Source organism: Homo sapiens, chromosome 8 (assembly GCF_000001405.40).
Source record: "Homo sapiens chromosome 8, GRCh38.p14 Primary Assembly".
Taxonomy (NCBI): domain Eukaryota; kingdom Metazoa; phylum Chordata; class Mammalia; order Primates; family Hominidae; genus Homo; species Homo sapiens.
This window is the reverse complement of record NC_000008.11, coordinates 65,686,081-65,702,965: the sequence shown is the minus strand read 5'-3', so window position 1 is coordinate 65,702,965 and position 16,885 is coordinate 65,686,081. Positions and strand designations below refer to the sequence as shown.

General features: G+C 40.8%; 1 protein-coding gene across 30 annotated transcripts in view; it reads right to left on the bottom strand.

Annotated features, from left to right (window-relative positions):
* MTFR1 (mitochondrial fission regulator 1) overlaps positions 1–16,885 on the bottom strand; it is a 134,710-nt gene that overhangs the window by 75,633 nt on the left and 42,192 nt on the right. For 25 of the 30 annotated variants that reach the window (NR_182101.1, NR_182102.1, XM_006716484.3 and 22 more), the window contains one exon: positions 9,207–9,322. The exons of 1 other annotated variant lie outside the window; for it this stretch is intronic. Coding sequence is in view for 26 of the 29 variants with exons in the window: in XM_006716484.3 (XP_006716547.2) it covers positions 9,207–9,322 (116 nt within the window). In the remaining 3 variants the exon portion in view is untranslated. Of the gene's footprint in view, positions 1–9,206; positions 9,323–13,366; positions 13,401–16,885 lie in introns of all 30 variants that reach the window. 4 more of the 30 variants (NR_182100.1, NM_001413079.1, XM_011517628.3 and 1 more) reach the window with 1 other exon arrangement.

The window sequence follows — 16,885 nt, the reverse complement described above, 5'->3', positions numbered from 1 at the left end:
GTCCAAAATTCCCTAAGGCACACAGGTTCTTACTTAGAATAACACTACACTGAATTATCTAGCTCTCTTTTTTCCTTGTTACTGTCAAGGGAAGCCACTTTTGTAGCACAATTTACATAAATGCAAAGGCCTTTTTAGCTCCTCACCCATATCAAAGAACCCTAAGTTAAATATAATACACCTCTGGGGTCCTGTCCCCTCATCTCACAGGTAAGGGAAACTCAAAATCTGACACAGTTTTAAATTAGATGTGCCCTATTCCCAAAATGATTTCTACTGACCCTCCCTCATCTTTTTAGTTTACAGAACAACCTTGAAAGGTAAAAAAACATACTCTATTGTCCTAGAATCCAGGGAAAAAAAACTGGTAATTTAGTTTCCTGAAATATAAAGTTGGTAGAAAACGAATAATCTGAGGCAGGCGGATCACTTGAGGTCAGGAGTTCAAGACCAGCCTGGCCAACATGGTGAAACCCCATCTCTACTAAAAGTACAAAGATTAGCTGGGTGTGTTGGCGGGTGCCTGTAATACCAGCTACTTGGGAGGCTGAGGCAAGAGAATCGCTTGAACCCGGGAAGTGGAGGTTGCAGTGAGCCAAGATCATGCCACTGCATTCCAGCCTGGGCAACACAGCAAGACTCTGTCTCAAAAAAAAAAAAAAAAAAAAGAAAGAAAGAAAGAAAAGAAACAAAGAAAAGAAAACTAACAGTCTTTTCAAAGTGGGCAAGTGGCTGGATAAAGACAACCAGAATGGGAAATCATTTTGACAGAGGAAGCAATCCATGAGAAATCTACAGTGGGAACAGGCAGGAGTGTTGTAGGCTACAGACCTAGAAAACTAGTGGGATTCCCTCATTAGCTGTTTTAGGCTCTGTTCAACACAACCCTTCTGTTGTTTTATATTTCAGAAGTTCAATCTTCCTAAAAGTGGTATTTAACAAAAATAATCTTTCTCCCTTGAATATACTATTTTAATAACATATGTTTATCAGTTCATGTCTACTGTCAAGTAATGAAGAATAAAATAGAAACCAGTAACATCTGCAGATTGATGTGCTGTGAGTAGGAAACCTTGCTCTGATCCACCGAGTCTCCTGGCCTACTCTTGCACCTCTGGCACTGTGGAGCCAGCCTGCTTGCTTGTTAAGTATTTCCTATGGACTCTTGCTACTCTGTCACCCTCTAAGAGGTTGGGGATCTTCCCTGACACTCCTTAAAAAACAGCACATTCCATCTTATACTTCATGCTGACACTTGAAAAATTAAGCTGGATATCATCACCTCAGTCTCACTTTATTCACTATCCTTATATTACAGACTTTTATAAGTATGTTCATCTTCCTCATTAGATTGCAAGCATCCTAGGATAAGGAAAACAGCTATCCGAAACATTTTTAAGCCCTATGAACCTATAAATTTGTATTTAGTAAGTGAGCTTGATATTGTGACACTCTACAGAAGAACTGGATACAACTAGAAATTAATATATTAATATAGAATGAACAAATTAAACTTGAAATATTTCAAAACTCCTTAGCTGCTCTTCTACTTTGGAACCAATCAAACGCTTGATGACAATGTCTATGATGTCAACTAAAGGCTTCAGAGATTACAGTCTTTAATTTCATCATACAGTACAAATGTTATACTGTATATTTATCCAAAGACTTATAAACCAAAAAGTATCTGAGACAGGTCTCAAACAATTTAGAAGTTTATTTTACCAAGGTTAAAGATGTGCACCTGGGAGACAGATCAGTGCCTTTCTCCAAAGATGATTTTGAGGGCTTCAATATTTAAAGGAGAAAGGGCAGATATTAGAGAAAGAGGAAGAAATTTTTAAAAGGTGGGGGTAGATAAGAGACAAAAGTTTACATTCTTTTAAGTCTCTGATCAGCTGTTCACATGTGAGGGGCAGTAGAGGAATAGTCACGTAGGCATTCCTCTAGTTCAGTAAATCTGCATTTTTACATAAAATAAACATAGGGCAGAGGAAGCAATCAGATATGCATTTGTCTCAGGTGAGCAGAGGGGTAACTTTTGAGTTCCGTCCTTTTCCAATACCTGTGAAGAAAAGCTATCAGTTCACATTGTCAGAGTCAAATTTAGCAGAACTGTTTTAGGGTAAGGATCTTGGGGCCCACAAGGAATTTCCTAGCAGGCAAATTGTAAGAGAGGTATGTAGCTTTTTTATAATGTAGCTATCTTACATAGCTACAGAGGCAGCTTTGCTCTGATGCAAAGCTTTGGGAGGCAGGTTTGCCTGATGCAGTTCCCAGCTTGACTTTTCCCTTTGGCTTAGTGATTTGGGAGTCCCAAGGTTTATTTTCCTTTCACAGACTATACGTTCTCCTTAGAATACTACTATGAAAGAGAACACATTATCTTAGATGAGATTATCAGTTATCAGGATGTCAATGCTTCTGTTAGTTAAAAAGGAAATGAAAATGTGTACAGAAAAGAGAAAAAACAATGAGGCCTTACTTTGTGCATGCCACTGTACTAACAGTTTTCTCATGTTATTGAAAATTCTCTTCTCAAAGTAGAATACTTCTATTCCACAGAAATATGCTGCCCTTTTTTTTGTTTTCTTTTTTCTTTTTTTTTTTTTTTTTAAGATAGGTCTCGATCCATTGCTGAGGTTGGAATGCAGTGGTGCATTCATGGTTCACTGCAGCCTTGACCTCCCAGGCTCAAGCAATCCTACCACCTCAGCCTCTCAGGTAGCAAGGACAACAGGTGTGTACCACCACACCCAGCGAATTTTGGTATTTTTTGTAGAGATGGGGTTTTGCCATGTTGCCCAGGCTCGTCTTGAACTCCTGGGGTCAAGCAACCCACCCACCTCGACCTCCCAAAGTGCTGGGATTATAAGCATGAGCCACTACACTCGGCCTGTACTTCTAGTTTATAAATAAAAATCTCAAGTTCGGTGCATTTGAAAAAAATCATTTCTATAATAACCAATTATGAAAGACTCATATGTATCCTGTTTTCCTGGAGACATAATAGTATGACATTATAAATAATTGTTATAGAAATGTCATCAACATAAATTTCAAGGAAGAAATATATTGAAGAGCTTCAGCTTTCATACAAATATAAATATGAGAGGCAGAAAAACAAACTGCAACATATGAACAGTCTTAAATAGAATTTGTTTCTATAGGGACTTAAACTGTAAGTTATAAACACAGAAGGGTAGATTCCATTCGGGGAAGATGGCAGAGAGCAGGCAGGACTAACTTGCGGCTCCCACTTGGACAAACAGAGCAGCGTGTAGAGATCCACATGGTGAACTTTTGCTCCAAGAACTACTGCAGGAACATACCAGGAAAGCCAGAGAATCCACAGACACTTTGAAGGAGGTGGATTGCAGCTACAGGCTCTGTGGGAAAGCTGAGGAACTCCAGAGACAAAGGACATAATTGCTTGGGAGCTTTATGGCCCTGCCCACTGCCTGAGATGCTGGTGCGGTTGCAAAGAAGGGGAATACTTATACCCTGCTGGTGGGAATGTAAATTAGCTCAGCCACTGTGGAAAGGAATATGAAGATTTCTCAAAGAACTTAAAAGAGAACTATTGTTTGACCCAGCAATCCCTCTATTGGGTATATACCTAAAGGAAAATAAATCATTCTAACCAAAAGGACACAAGCACACGTGTTCATCACAGCACTGTTCACAACAGCATAGACACGGAACCAACCTAAATGTCCATCAGTGGTAGACTGGATAAAGAAAATGTGGTAGATAGACACCATGGAATACTACACAGTCACAGAAAACAAGGAGATCATTCCTTTGCAGCAACATGGATGGAGCTGGAAGCCATTATCCTAAGCAAACTCACACAGGAACAGAAAACCAAATACCACATGTTCTCACTTGTAAATGAGAGCTAAACACTGAGTGCACATGGACAAAAAGAAGGGAACGGCTGGGCGCAGTAGCTCACACCTATAATCCCAGCACTTTGGGAGGCCAAGGCAGGTGACCACCTGATGTCAGGAGTTCGAGACCAGCCTGACCAACATGGTGAAACCCTGTCTCTACTAAAAATTCAAAAATTAGGTGGGCGTGGTCGTGCACGCCTGTAATCCCAGCTGCTTGGGAGGCTGAGGCATGAAAATCGCTTGAACCCAGGAGGTGGAGGTTGCAGTGAGCCGAGATCGTGCCATTGCACTCCAGCCTGGGCAACAAGAGTGAAACTCTGTCTCAAAAAAAAAAAAAGAAGGGAACAACACACTCCAGGGCCTACTTGAGAGTAGAAGGTGAGGATCAAAAAACTACCTATTGAGTCCTATGCTTATTACCTGAGTGATGAAATAATCTGTACACCAAACATCCATAACATGCAATTTACCCATGTAACTAACCAGCACATGTACCCCCGAACCTAAAAGTTTTTTTTTAATTCCATTTTTAAAAAATTTGGAGTTTGGAACACTTCTGATTTTGGATTTTCAAATTAGGGTTGCTCAACCTGTATGAAAAAATTAACTTGAAAAGAATCACGAATTTAAGGCTGGGCACAGTGGCTCATACCTGTAATCCCAGCACTTTGGGAGGCTAAGGTGGGCGGATCGCTTAAGCTCAGGAGTTTGAGACCAGCCTGGGCAACATGGCGAAAACCCATCTTTACAAAAAACAGCCAGGCATGGTGGCATACACCTGTAACCCCAGCTACTTAGGAGGTTAAGGTGAGAGGATCGCTTGAGCCCAGGAGGCAGAGGTTACAGTGAGCTATGATCATGCCACTGCACTCCAGCCCGGGTGACAGAGCCAGATCCTTCTGAAAAAAAAAAAAAGAAAAAAAAAAATCATGGACTCAAATGTAAAATATAAAACTATAAACCTCTTAGGGAAAAAGAAGTCTCAGGATCTAGGGCTAGGCAAAGAGCTCTTAGATTTGACACCAAAAGCACGATCAATAAAAAAATACATAAATTAGACTTCATCAAAACGAAAAACTTTTGCTCCATGAAAGACCCCATTAAATGTATGAAAAGACAAGCCACAGAGTAGGAGAAAATATTTATAAACCATATATGTGACAAGGATTCATATCTAGAATATACAAAGAAATCTTAAAAATATCCAGTTAGAAAATAAGCAAAAGACACGATACGTTTTACCTGAAAGAATACACATATGGCATAAAAAGATGTTTAACATCATTAGCTATTAAGGAAATAACGCAGAGAAACTGAATTAGCCATATACTGCCAGAGGGATATGAAATAGGCTCTAGAAAACAGCTTGTCAGTTTCTTGAAAAACTAAGTAACTACTATTTGACCCAGCAACTGCACTCATAGACATTTATCCCAGAAAAATGAAAACTTATAGTCAGTCACTCAAAAACCTATACACAAATGTTTATATACTAACTTTCTTTAACAGCCAAAAACTGGAATCAACCTAGATGTCCATCAACTACTGCATGATTAAACAAACTGTAATACATCCATACCAATGACTACTACTGAGCAATTAAAAAGGATCAAGCTCTTGATGCACACAACAATTTAGATGAATAGCCAGAGAATAATGCTGAGTTTAAAAAGCCAGTCCTGCCCTCTTCAATAGCTCAGCTGGTAGAGCGGAGGACTGTAGGTGCACGCCCGTGGCCATTCTTAGGTGCTGGTTTGATTCCGACTTGGAGAGACACCTTTGTTTGGCCAGGCGCGGTGGCTCACGCCTGTAATCCCAACACTTAGGGAGGCTGAGGCAGGCAGATAACCTGAGGTCAGGAGTTCGAGACTAGCCTGGCCAACATGGTGAAACTCCGTCTCTACTAAAAATACAAAAATTAGCTAGGCATGGAGGCAGGCGCCTGTAATCCCAGCTACTTGGGAGGCTGAGGCAGGGGAATCACTTGAACCTAGGAGGTAGAGGTTGCAGTGAGCTGAGATCGCACTACTGCACTCCAGCCTGGGTGACAGAGTGAGTCTCTGTCTCAAAAAAAAAAAAAAAAAAGCCAGTCCCAAAAGGTTACATATTGGCCAGGCACGGTGGCTCACACTTGTAATCCCAGCACTTTGGGAAGCCGAGGCAGATGAATTACTTGAGGTCAGGAGTTCAAGACCAGCCTGGCCAACATGGTGAAATCCCGTATCCACTAAAAATACAAAAATTAGGCAGGTATGGTGGCACATACCTGTAACCCCAGCTACTTGGGAGGCTGAGGCAGGAGAATTGCTTAAACCCAGGAGGCGGAGGTTGCAGTAAGCCAAGACTGCATCCCCGCACTCCAGCCTGGGTGACAGAGTGAGACTCTGTCTCAAAAAAATAAAAAAAAAAGTTACATATTACATGATTCAATGTATGTAACATTCTTTAAATGATAAAATAGTTAAAATGAACAGATTAGTAGTTGCTAGCCATTAAGAAGGAGTTGAGGTTGGGGATGGAAGAGAAGTATGTGTGGCTATAACAGGGCAACTGGAGGATCTCTGTAGCATGGAAATGTCCTGCATCTTGACTTATCAACATCAATACCCTGCTGTGATATTGTACTATAGTTTTGCAGGATGTTACCATTGAAGGAGACTGAGTGAAAAGCATGGGGAATTTCTCTGTATTGTTTCTTATAAATATGCATGTGAAGAATCTACAATTATCTCAAAATAAAAAGTTTAAATAAAATAAACATCTTAAAAAAGAAAGGCTCTTTACCTGCTAATCCTGCAATCCCTGTGTTTATCTACTGCTATGTCCTTATTTCTATTTGTCATTCAAATCAAATTCCTTGTTTGCTCTTATTTTATTCTTATTTTATCCAGCTAATACTACTCAAATGAAATTACTCTTGCTGAAGTCAATGATAATCTTCCAACTGAAAAACAAAATTGAAACTTGCTAGTTTTTCTATTTACCCAGCCTCTAAGTATTTGACACTGATCACTACTCCTCTTCAATAAAAACTCTACCTCCTCTGCTTCCATAACAATACCCTCTACCAGGTCTTCTCCTGCCGCTTAGCTCTTTGGGTGATGGGTTGGGGTTGGGGAGGGTGATGGGGGAGGAGGCTTTTTCTTTCCTTTAACTTCAAAATGCTGGCTTCACTCAGGGTACAAATGCTCTTCACGTTCTATACATGCTTCTTGGGCACTCTCATATTCAGCCGTTCTATCTAAATGTTATAGAGTATAGGCCTTCCTTACCAATATCCATTCACATAAACTGTTTCTAGATCAAGGTGAATATCTCACAGAAAACTCAAACATAATATATTCCAGACTAGACTACCCTCTCTTATTACCCCCAGCCAAAACAATCTGTTTTCCTATATTCCTATACATTATAGCTAGGTGCGGTGGCTCACGCCTATAATCCCAGCACTCTGAGAAGTCAAGGCAGGTGGATCACCTGGGGTCAGGAGTTCAAGACCAGCCTGGCCAACGTGGTGAAACCCCGTCTCTACTAAAAATACAAAAATCAGCTGGGCATCATGGCAGCCACCTGGAATCCCAGCTACTCGGAAGGCTGAGGCAGGAGAATTGATAGAACCCGGGAGGTGGGGGTTGCAGTGAGCCCAGATCGCACCACTGCACTCCAGCCTCACTCGGGCAACCAAGTGAGGCTCCATCTCAAAAACAAAACAAAAAAAAAAATTGTTTCACCATCCTTATAATTATCCTACATGGAAACCTGAGAATTTAGGATAACTAGACTCTGACTACGTAGGCTCTTCCTTCGTTAATCTCCATATCTAATAAGTTTCTATGTCATTTTAATTCTTATGAATCTCACTTGGCTTTGAACCTCTTCTGCCAGTTTCTTAATTCAGTTAAATTCTGATCATCTCCTAGTTGGTCTATTTCTTGGTCTGGCTCTTTTCTATTCTTCATACTGTTTACATGTTGATTTTACTAGTGCTCAAATTTCTTCCATGGTTCCACACTGCTTTCAGGTTCTATATTGCTTTCCACAAACGTGAACTTTTCTATGTTTCTTAGAGTCACGTGTAAGACCTTCAAACCTCTACCTACTTCTCGTCCTCATCTCCCACAGCTTATCCTTCTTTTCTGCTCTCTAGTCTCATTGAGCCATCTGGCAGTTCCCAAACATGCCACAATGTCTCCTGGTTTTACCTTTAAACAAGTTCTTTACTCTTCCAGGAATACCAGCCTTCCATTTACTTGGCTCCCACTCAGCCCTCATGATGGAGCTCTAGCATTTCCTCCTGAGAAGTCTTGCTGAACATCTCTCATCCTGCAGTGACCATCTGTAATTACTTTGTAGACTTTACAGTATCAACTGATTTCCTTCTTAATCTCCTTTTGACTCAAAATTTTTAGGAAACATTCTCCAATTACACAAATTCTCTACTATGATCCAGATTGATCCCTTTGCCCCAATGAGACCATTATAATTACTGTACTTATCTAAAAATTAATGATCATTGTTTCTGGTCTCTTACATTAGAATGTAAACTGCTGAAGGACAAAGAATTCTGTCAATGAGGACTTAGGACATAATTATATGTCTCTAAAAACTTTATAAATACTAGTCAAGTCTTGAAAACGAACAGACTAGCCTAGGCAACATGGTGAAAACTCATCTCTACAAAAAAAGTAAAAAATAGGCTGGGCGTGGTGGCTCACGTCTGTAATCCCAGCACTTTAGGAGGGCAAGGCGGGTGGATCATCTGAGGTCAGGAGATCAAGACCAGCCTGGCTAACATGGCGAAACCCCATCTCTACTAAAAATACAAAAATTAGCTGGGTGTGGTGGTGCGTGCCTGTAGCCCCAGCTACTCAGGAAGCTGAGGCAGGAGAATCGCTTGAACCTGTGAGGTGGAGGTTGCAATGAGCCGAGATCACGCCACTGCACTGGAGCGTGGGTGACAGAACAAGACTCTATCTAAAAAAAAAAAAAAAAAAAAAGAATTAGCCAGGGTTGGTGGTGCATGCCTGTGATCCCAGCTACTTGGGAGGCTGAGGTGGGAGAATCACATGAGCCTGGGAGGTCAAGGCTGCAGTGAAGCAAGATCACACCACTGCACTCCAGCCTGAAAAACAGAACAAGACCCAATCTCAGAAAAAAAGGAAAATAAACAGAAAAGAAGACTGTTCAAGAAAAAGAAGAGGGTGCATTACTAGAGATAAAATTAGGCTATTAAAAATAAGTACTGCAAATAATATCATTCTTTAAAAAAATAGATATTGCATCTCAGTTCTGATAGCCTTCCAAACTAACCTTAGTCTTGCTGAACACTCTCCTTCTTCTTTGGCTACCCATCCAACATCAGCAAAAGACGCCACTGCATCCTCTCCTGGGTGGCTGGGACTCCATTCTGTTGCATGGCTGTTAATCTGTAAGTTATAAATAGGGAAAGTTCTTCACCAAAGATGGCACCAAAATGTTAAATTTTTTTTACTCACCTAAAGGAAAATCGTCAGCTCTGGTGTTAAAAACACATGAGTGGTTTCTAACTCTTCCACTGAAGGTCTCCATGATTAATAGTCATAATCATATTGTTGCCTAATAGTATATGACAATCTCAGAACTATAACTTTATTCAGTTTTCATTTTATAAGTTGATTTTTTTTTTTTTGAGACAAAGTCTAGCTCTGTCGCCCAGGCTGGAGTGCAGTGGCTCTATCTTTGGCTCACTGCAACCTCCGCCTCCCGGGTTCAAGCGATTCTTCTGCCTCAGCCTCCTGAGTAGCTGGGACTACAGGCACACGCCACCATGCCCAGCTAATTTTTGTGTTTTTAGTAGAGATGAGGTTTCACCATGTTGACCAGGCGGGTCTCGAACGCCTGACCTTGTGATCGGCCTGCCTCAGCCTCCCAAAGTGCTGGGATTACAGACGTGAGCCACTGTGCCCAGCCTATAAGTTGATTTTTTAAAAAACTATCCTAGAAAATTAAGAAAAATTTTTGAATCTAAGCATGAGAAACCACTTTTTTCTAAAGAGATTTTAAAAGGTATGTGTAGGCGGGGGGTATAAGAACAAGCAAACCGGGAAGTGGAGGTTGCGGTGAGCCGAGATCGTGCCACTATACTCCAGCCTGGGTGACAGAGCAAGACTCTGTCTCGGGGGTAAAAAAAAAAAAAAAGAACAAGCAAAAGACCAACTTGAGCTAAATCCAGGAATATTTTTAAATGGCTATTATATAGCTGTTTTGTTCAATGTTTTTATATATGTATATATTATAATGTTGAAAATGTTTTTTAAAACTCCTTAAATCCCCTAAATTTTAAGTAAAAGCATTAAAGAACAAAAGAACAAACAGCAGAACAGAATTCTCTACCTAAACTTAACATGGATGCAAACAGAATATTTTGAAATAAATACAAAAAAAAAAAGACAGCCAGGTGCAGTGGTTCCTGCCTACAGTCCCAGTACTTTGGGAGGCCAAGGCAGGCGGATCACTTGAGGTCAGGAGTTCGAAACCAGCTTGGCCAACATGGTGAAACCCCATCTCTACTGAAAATACAAAAAAATTAGCCAGGCGTGGTAGCACACACCTGTAATCCTAGCTACTCAGGAGGCTGAGGTGGGAGGATTACTTGAACCCGGGAGGCGGCAGTTGCAGTGAGCCAAGATTGCACCACTGCACTCCAGCCTGGGTGACAGGGTGAGACAGTCTCAAAAAGAAAAAGAAAAGACAAGCAGGATATCTTGAAATTTATCTTGAAAAACAAAAAAGATAACTGAGTTAAATTTAGATTTTGTTATACATATAATAATGCCTGAGTCAAAAAGTCAACGAATAATAATTTTTAAATAAAGTTATCAGATTAATACTTACTAAAAGTATGAGTGAGGTTTAAATAAAAAAGAAAAATAATCAATCCACACTTTTTAATTAAGGAAAAAATGAAAAGGCCAAAGAGATTCAGTCATTAATATGTTTATCAAAAAGGTTACCCTTGGGACTCATGCATTGTTCAAACCTCCTCAATGCCATCATTGCCAAGTCAAACTTTTGGAAGATATACTTAAATAATGCCTCTTCCTTAAACACAAAATATATCATGTGACACATAATACTAACATTGTTGAAAGTTTAAAATATCTTTAATGTAATATTATGAATAAAACTTTAAACATATCAGTTGTTGGTATGTGTACTCTCCTGGTATAATTATCTAATCAACTTAATAAAGTAGCATTAAAAATAACATTTTAAGGGCTGGGCGTGGTGGCAGGCGCCTGTAACCCGAGCCACTAGGGTGGCTGAGGCATGAGAATCACTTCAACATGGGAGGTAGAGGTTGCAGTGAGCTGAGATTGCGCTACTGCAATCCAGCCTGGGCGACAGAGCAAGACTCGGTCACAAAAAAAAACCAAAATCCAAAAACATGTTAACAATAAAGTACTAAGAACATCGAGTATCTAAAGCACCTTAAATTCAGCCAGGTGCGGTGGCTCACGCCTGTAATCCTGGCACTTTGGGAGGACAAGATGGCGGATGGCTTGAGGCCCCAGGAGCTTGAGACGAGCCTGGGCAACATGGCAAAACACCTGTCTCTACTAAAAATACAAAATAATTAGCTAGGCATGGTGGCATGCACCTGTAGTCACAGCTACTTGGGAGGCTGAGGTGGGAGAATCATTTGAACCCAGGAGGCAGAGGCTGCAGTGAGGCATGATCGCACCACCACACTCCAGCCCGGGCAACAGAGTGAGACTCTGTCTCAAAAAATAGAAATTTTAAAATCTTGCCTTCCACAAAAACAAAAACAAATAAACCTAATAATGAAATTATGATAAAAAGGCTTTCAAAATACCAATTTGCATGTAGTGGAAGTAATTTGTAGTCAGATGAGGAAAAAAGCATGAACTTCAGTAAGTAAATTCTCAAGGTATAAGATCAAAGGGAAGATTTTTGTACTTCCCTTTGTAGTTCAGAAACTTATCCAAACAGATATTCAGCAAATGGGTATCTCATACAACTTAAATAACACAACTGGGTATCATATTTGATCTCAAGAGTTGAGAAATCAGGTAATGTTCTGTTCCTACCCATTACTGAAAACAGAATGGTATCCTGATATTCCCATAACACTGTAATAAGGAGATTCTAAATGGGTTATGTGGCTATCCTTCAGCAGGAATGTTCCCCAAGCCCTGTGAGGCTCCTAGCAGAGATGGTATTTAATGGGCTGTTTTGTATAAGTGTTAGACAAATCCTAAGACTAAAATCTGAATGGTGCCTTCCTAAGGTGCTATTTCATGAGATGATCAATCTGATCATGACCCTTTGTTTAGAAATAAAAATTCTGTTCCAATATAATGACTAGTTGGTAGAAAGTTAGGCATATTTAAGACAAAGACTTCTTACTTTCCTACAGAAGTTACAAAAATAGCTGTTTTCTTCTAAAACATCTATAAAAGGAAACAAAGTGTGGGGAGGAGGGAAGAAAAAAAGAAAAACAAAAAAACAAAGTACTACTTTTCTTTTTTGTTGTTGTTGAGACCAGGTCTCACTCTGTCACTCAGGTTGGAGTGCAGTGGTACCATCTCGGCTCACTGCAACCTCCCGCCTCCCAAGTTCAAGCAATTCACCTGCGTAAGCCTCCAGAATTACTGGCACACACCACGACACCTGGCTCATTTTTTGTATTTTTGGTAGAGATGGGGGGTATCGCCATGTTGCCCAGGCTGGTCTCAAATTCCTGGGCTCGGGGGTTCCACCTGCCTCAGCCTCCCAAAGTGCTGGGATTATAGGTATGCACCACCACGCCCAGCCAGTACTACTTTTCTAAGAATACATATTCAAAGAAATATAAGTTAACTCATTTTCAGGATATCATAAATAGTAATTAAGGATTAAACACATTTCTCAATTTTACATCTATAAAATTAAATAATGCCTCCATAAAATTAATATGTTAAACATAAAATGCCAGCTTTTGCACAAACTTTAAAAAAACAAAACAACAAGATACAACAAACTATTCCACGGACTTAATTTGGATCTTACTTAAGCCTTAATTAGGCAAATGATACCAAGTCCATAATATGTGCTCAATAAGATGAAAATGTTAATGATGCTCTCAAGAACCAATTCCAAAACTGATAAGATGTATGTCATTTGTACTTGAAATCCTGTCCCACAAAACAAAATAGTTTTGGCATTTAAGTCAAACTCATTCAAAAGACAAAATAAAACTAGAAGAAAATCTTCTTTATAAAAGGCCGTTTCAGGTGTTGGTGAGGGAAGCATTCATTGAGTGACACAGGCATGGGATGCAAAGGACAATTTCCAGGACAATGCACTTAGTAAAGTACAAGTCAAGGTGAAGTCAGCCCTGGCAAGGACTGACATTAAGAAATTCTTGGAAATACGATTTAGACACCACGACATGCATGGGAAGTTTGAGAAAGAAAAGGACAACTTACTGAAGGTTCCCAGCAAGGTCCTGTCCTACTACAGCTATTATTAGTGGAAAAAGAAAAAAAAAGTGAAGAGATAGAAATTTTTTTTCAAAATCACATTTCATTCAGAGCAAAAATTCAATAATAACACTAAATTACCCAAAATTCAATTTTATTTTAGAAATCTTACTGAAGCAACTTTAATTTAAAATATTCTGATAATATACCAAAAAAATCAGTTCATTTAATAAAGTGCATATTAGTAAAATACAAATGTTGTACAATAGTAGAAAAGCTTAGAATAAAAATGTTAGAAGTACTAACTTCATCCTCTTGTGACTTCATAAAATAAACACAACAGTGCTGGGAACTAGGATTCTCTGCAAAGGGCATAATAGTAAATACACTCATTCTAGTTTACTACCATTTGTTTATAGCCAAATGCATAACATACACGGATTCTTTGTTTGTTTGTTTTTGAGACCAAGTCTTGTTCTGTTGCCCAGGCCGGAGTGCAGTGGCGCAATCTCAGTTCACTGTAACCTCCACCTCCCAGGTTCAAGCAATTCTCCTGCCTCAGCCTCCTGAGTAGCTGAGATTACAGGCACCCACCACCATGCCTGGCTAATTTTTGTGTTTTTAGTAGAGATGGGGTTTCACCATGTTGACCAGGGTGGTCTTGAACTCCTGACCTCAAGTGATCCACCCGCCTCAGCCTCCCAAAGTGCTGGGATTACAGGTGTGAGCCACCACACCCAGCCCACATATACATATTCTTAATAGCAACATAGTAAAATGATAATCTCTAGCTTTTTACCTACATAGATTTAATTATTTCTCTTTTACCAGTTGCTTCCATGCTAAGAAAAACTAAAAGCAGGCTGGGCGCGGTGGCTTACGCCTGTAATCCCAGTACTTTGGGAGCCTGAAGGCGGGCGGATCACGAGGTCAGGAGATCGAGACCATCCTGGCTAACATGGTGAAACCCCGTCTCTACTAAAAATACAATTAGCTGGGCGTGGTGGCGGGCGCCTGTAGTCCCAGCTACTCAGGAGGCTGAGGCAGGAGAATGGCGTGAACCTGGGAGGCGGAGCTTGCAGTGAGCCGAGATTGCGCCACTGCACTCCAGCCTGGGCGACAGAGCAAGACTCCGTCTCAAAAAAAAAAAAAAAGAAAAGAAAAACTGAAAGCAGAATTTCTGGGGTTTTTTTTGTTTGCTTGTTTAAGATGAAATCTCACTCTGTCACCCAGGCTGGAGTGCAGTGGTGTGATCTCGGCTCACTGCAACCTCAGCCTCCTGGGTTCAAGCAGTTCTCCTGCATCAGCCTCCCAAGTAGCTGGGATTATAGGTACCTGCCATCACACCCAGCTAATTTTTGTATTTTTAATAGAGTTGAGGTTTCACCATGTTGGGCAGCTGGTCTCAAACTCCTGACTTCAAGTAATCCACCTGCCTCAGCCTTCCAAAGTGCTGGGATTATAGGTGTGAGCCACCATGCCCGGCCTGTTTTTTTTTTTTTTTTTTAGACGGAGTCTTGCCCTGTCGCCCAGGCTGGAGTGCAACGGCACAGTATCAGCTCACTGCAACCTCTGTCTCCCAGGTTCAAGCGATTCTCCTGCCTCAGTCTCCCGAGTAGCTGGGATTACAGGCACGTGCCATCACACCCAGGTAATTTTTGTATTTTTAATAGAGACAGAGTTTCACCATGTTGGCCATGCTGGTCTTGAACTCCCAACCTCAGGTGATTCACCTGCCTTGGCCTCCCAAAGTGCTGGGATTTTAGGTGTGGGCCACCGCGCCTAGCCGAATTGCTGTATTTTAATACAGTATAGTGACATACAGTGACACCATCAACTTCCCAGGTGATATACCTGTGTAAAGAACAACAGTCTGAAAGACAGAACACTAAATTCAATATTCTAGCCCAGACTCAGTCACTACTATTTCTGAATGTGATTACTTTTTAAAAATGTATTCTGGCTGGGTGCGGTGGCTCATGCCTGTAATCCCAGCACTTTGGGAGGCCGAGGCGGGCGGATCACGAGGTCAGGAGATCGAAACCATCCTGGCTAACATGGTGAAACCCCGTCTCTACTAAAAATACAAAAAATTAGCCGGGCGTGGTGGCGAGTGCCTGTAGCCCCAGCTACTTGGAAGGCTGAGGCAGGAGAATGGCGTGAACCTGGGAGGCAGAGCTTGCAATGAGCCAAGATCGTGCCACTGCACTCCAGCCTGGGTGACAAGTGAGACTCCATCTCAAAAAAAAAAAAAAAAAGTATTCTTTAAGATTACAAAGCTGTATATATTTATTATGTTTGAAATATGTGCAGTGGTTCAACTGAATTGGATTACCTCCAATTCAATTTTTTCTGGTGAAAACACTTAAAATCTACTCTCTCAGTGATTTTCAATATACAATACATTGCTGTTAACTATAGTCACCATGTTGTAAATGTATCTCTTGCATGGTCACTATTTTAAGTGAACATTTATTAAAAGTTTCTATACGTAACACACTTAGAATAGTAGAAGGCAAGAGAACAAAGCCACCAGAGGGAGGAAAATGTGTCTATTTCTGAAAATAATCTTTAAGGGTAAGCAGCAGTATCCTTGTGGAAATACAAGACTTTTAAGAGATCAACTGCCTGAGATGAATAAAATGGCCACAAACATTTGTTGGTTACTTTTTTTTTTTTTTGGAGATGGAGTCTTGCTCTGTCGTCCAGGCTGGAGTGCAGTGGTGTGATCTTGGCTCATTACAACCTCCAGTTCCCGGGTTCAGGCAATTCTTCCTGCCTCAGCCTCCTAAGTAGCTGGGATGACAAGAACTTGCCACCACGCCCGGCTAATTTTTGTATTTTTAGTAGAGATGGGGTTTCACCACAGTGGCCGAGCTGGTCGCAAATTCCTGACCTCAGGTGATCCGCCCGCCTCAGCCTCCCAAAGTGCTGAGATTATAGGTGTGAGCCACCCCGTGCCCAGCCATACTCAGTTAGTCTCAAAACTACTATTTCACAGTGCCTTTTTTTTTTTTTTTTTTTTTGAGACGGAGTCTCGCTCTTTCGCCCAGGCTGGAGTGCAGTAGCATGAACTCGGCTCACTGCAACCTCCGCCTCCCAGGTTCAAGAATCAAGCTGATTCTCCTGCCTCAGCTTCCTGAGTAGCTGGGATTACAGGCACTTGCTATCATGCCTGGCTAATTTTTGTATTTTTAGTAGAGACGGGGTTTCACCACATTGGCCAGGCTGGTCTTGAACTCCTGACCTCAGGTGATCCACCCGCATTGGCCTCCCAAAGTGCTGGGATTACAGGTGCGAGCCACTGTGCTGGGCTCCACAGTGTCAAAATTTATAAAACATACTATTTGTTGCTGGATTCAGTAATCTTTAAGGGCCAACTGACTATAAAATTATAGCTAAAAATAAAAAATGAACATCATATACAGTATGACATCACATGCTAGCATATTCCAAATTATCTAGTAGTTATTGAAACACACGGTTAAATTTAACAGTTATTTTACATATTAATCCAGGTATGCA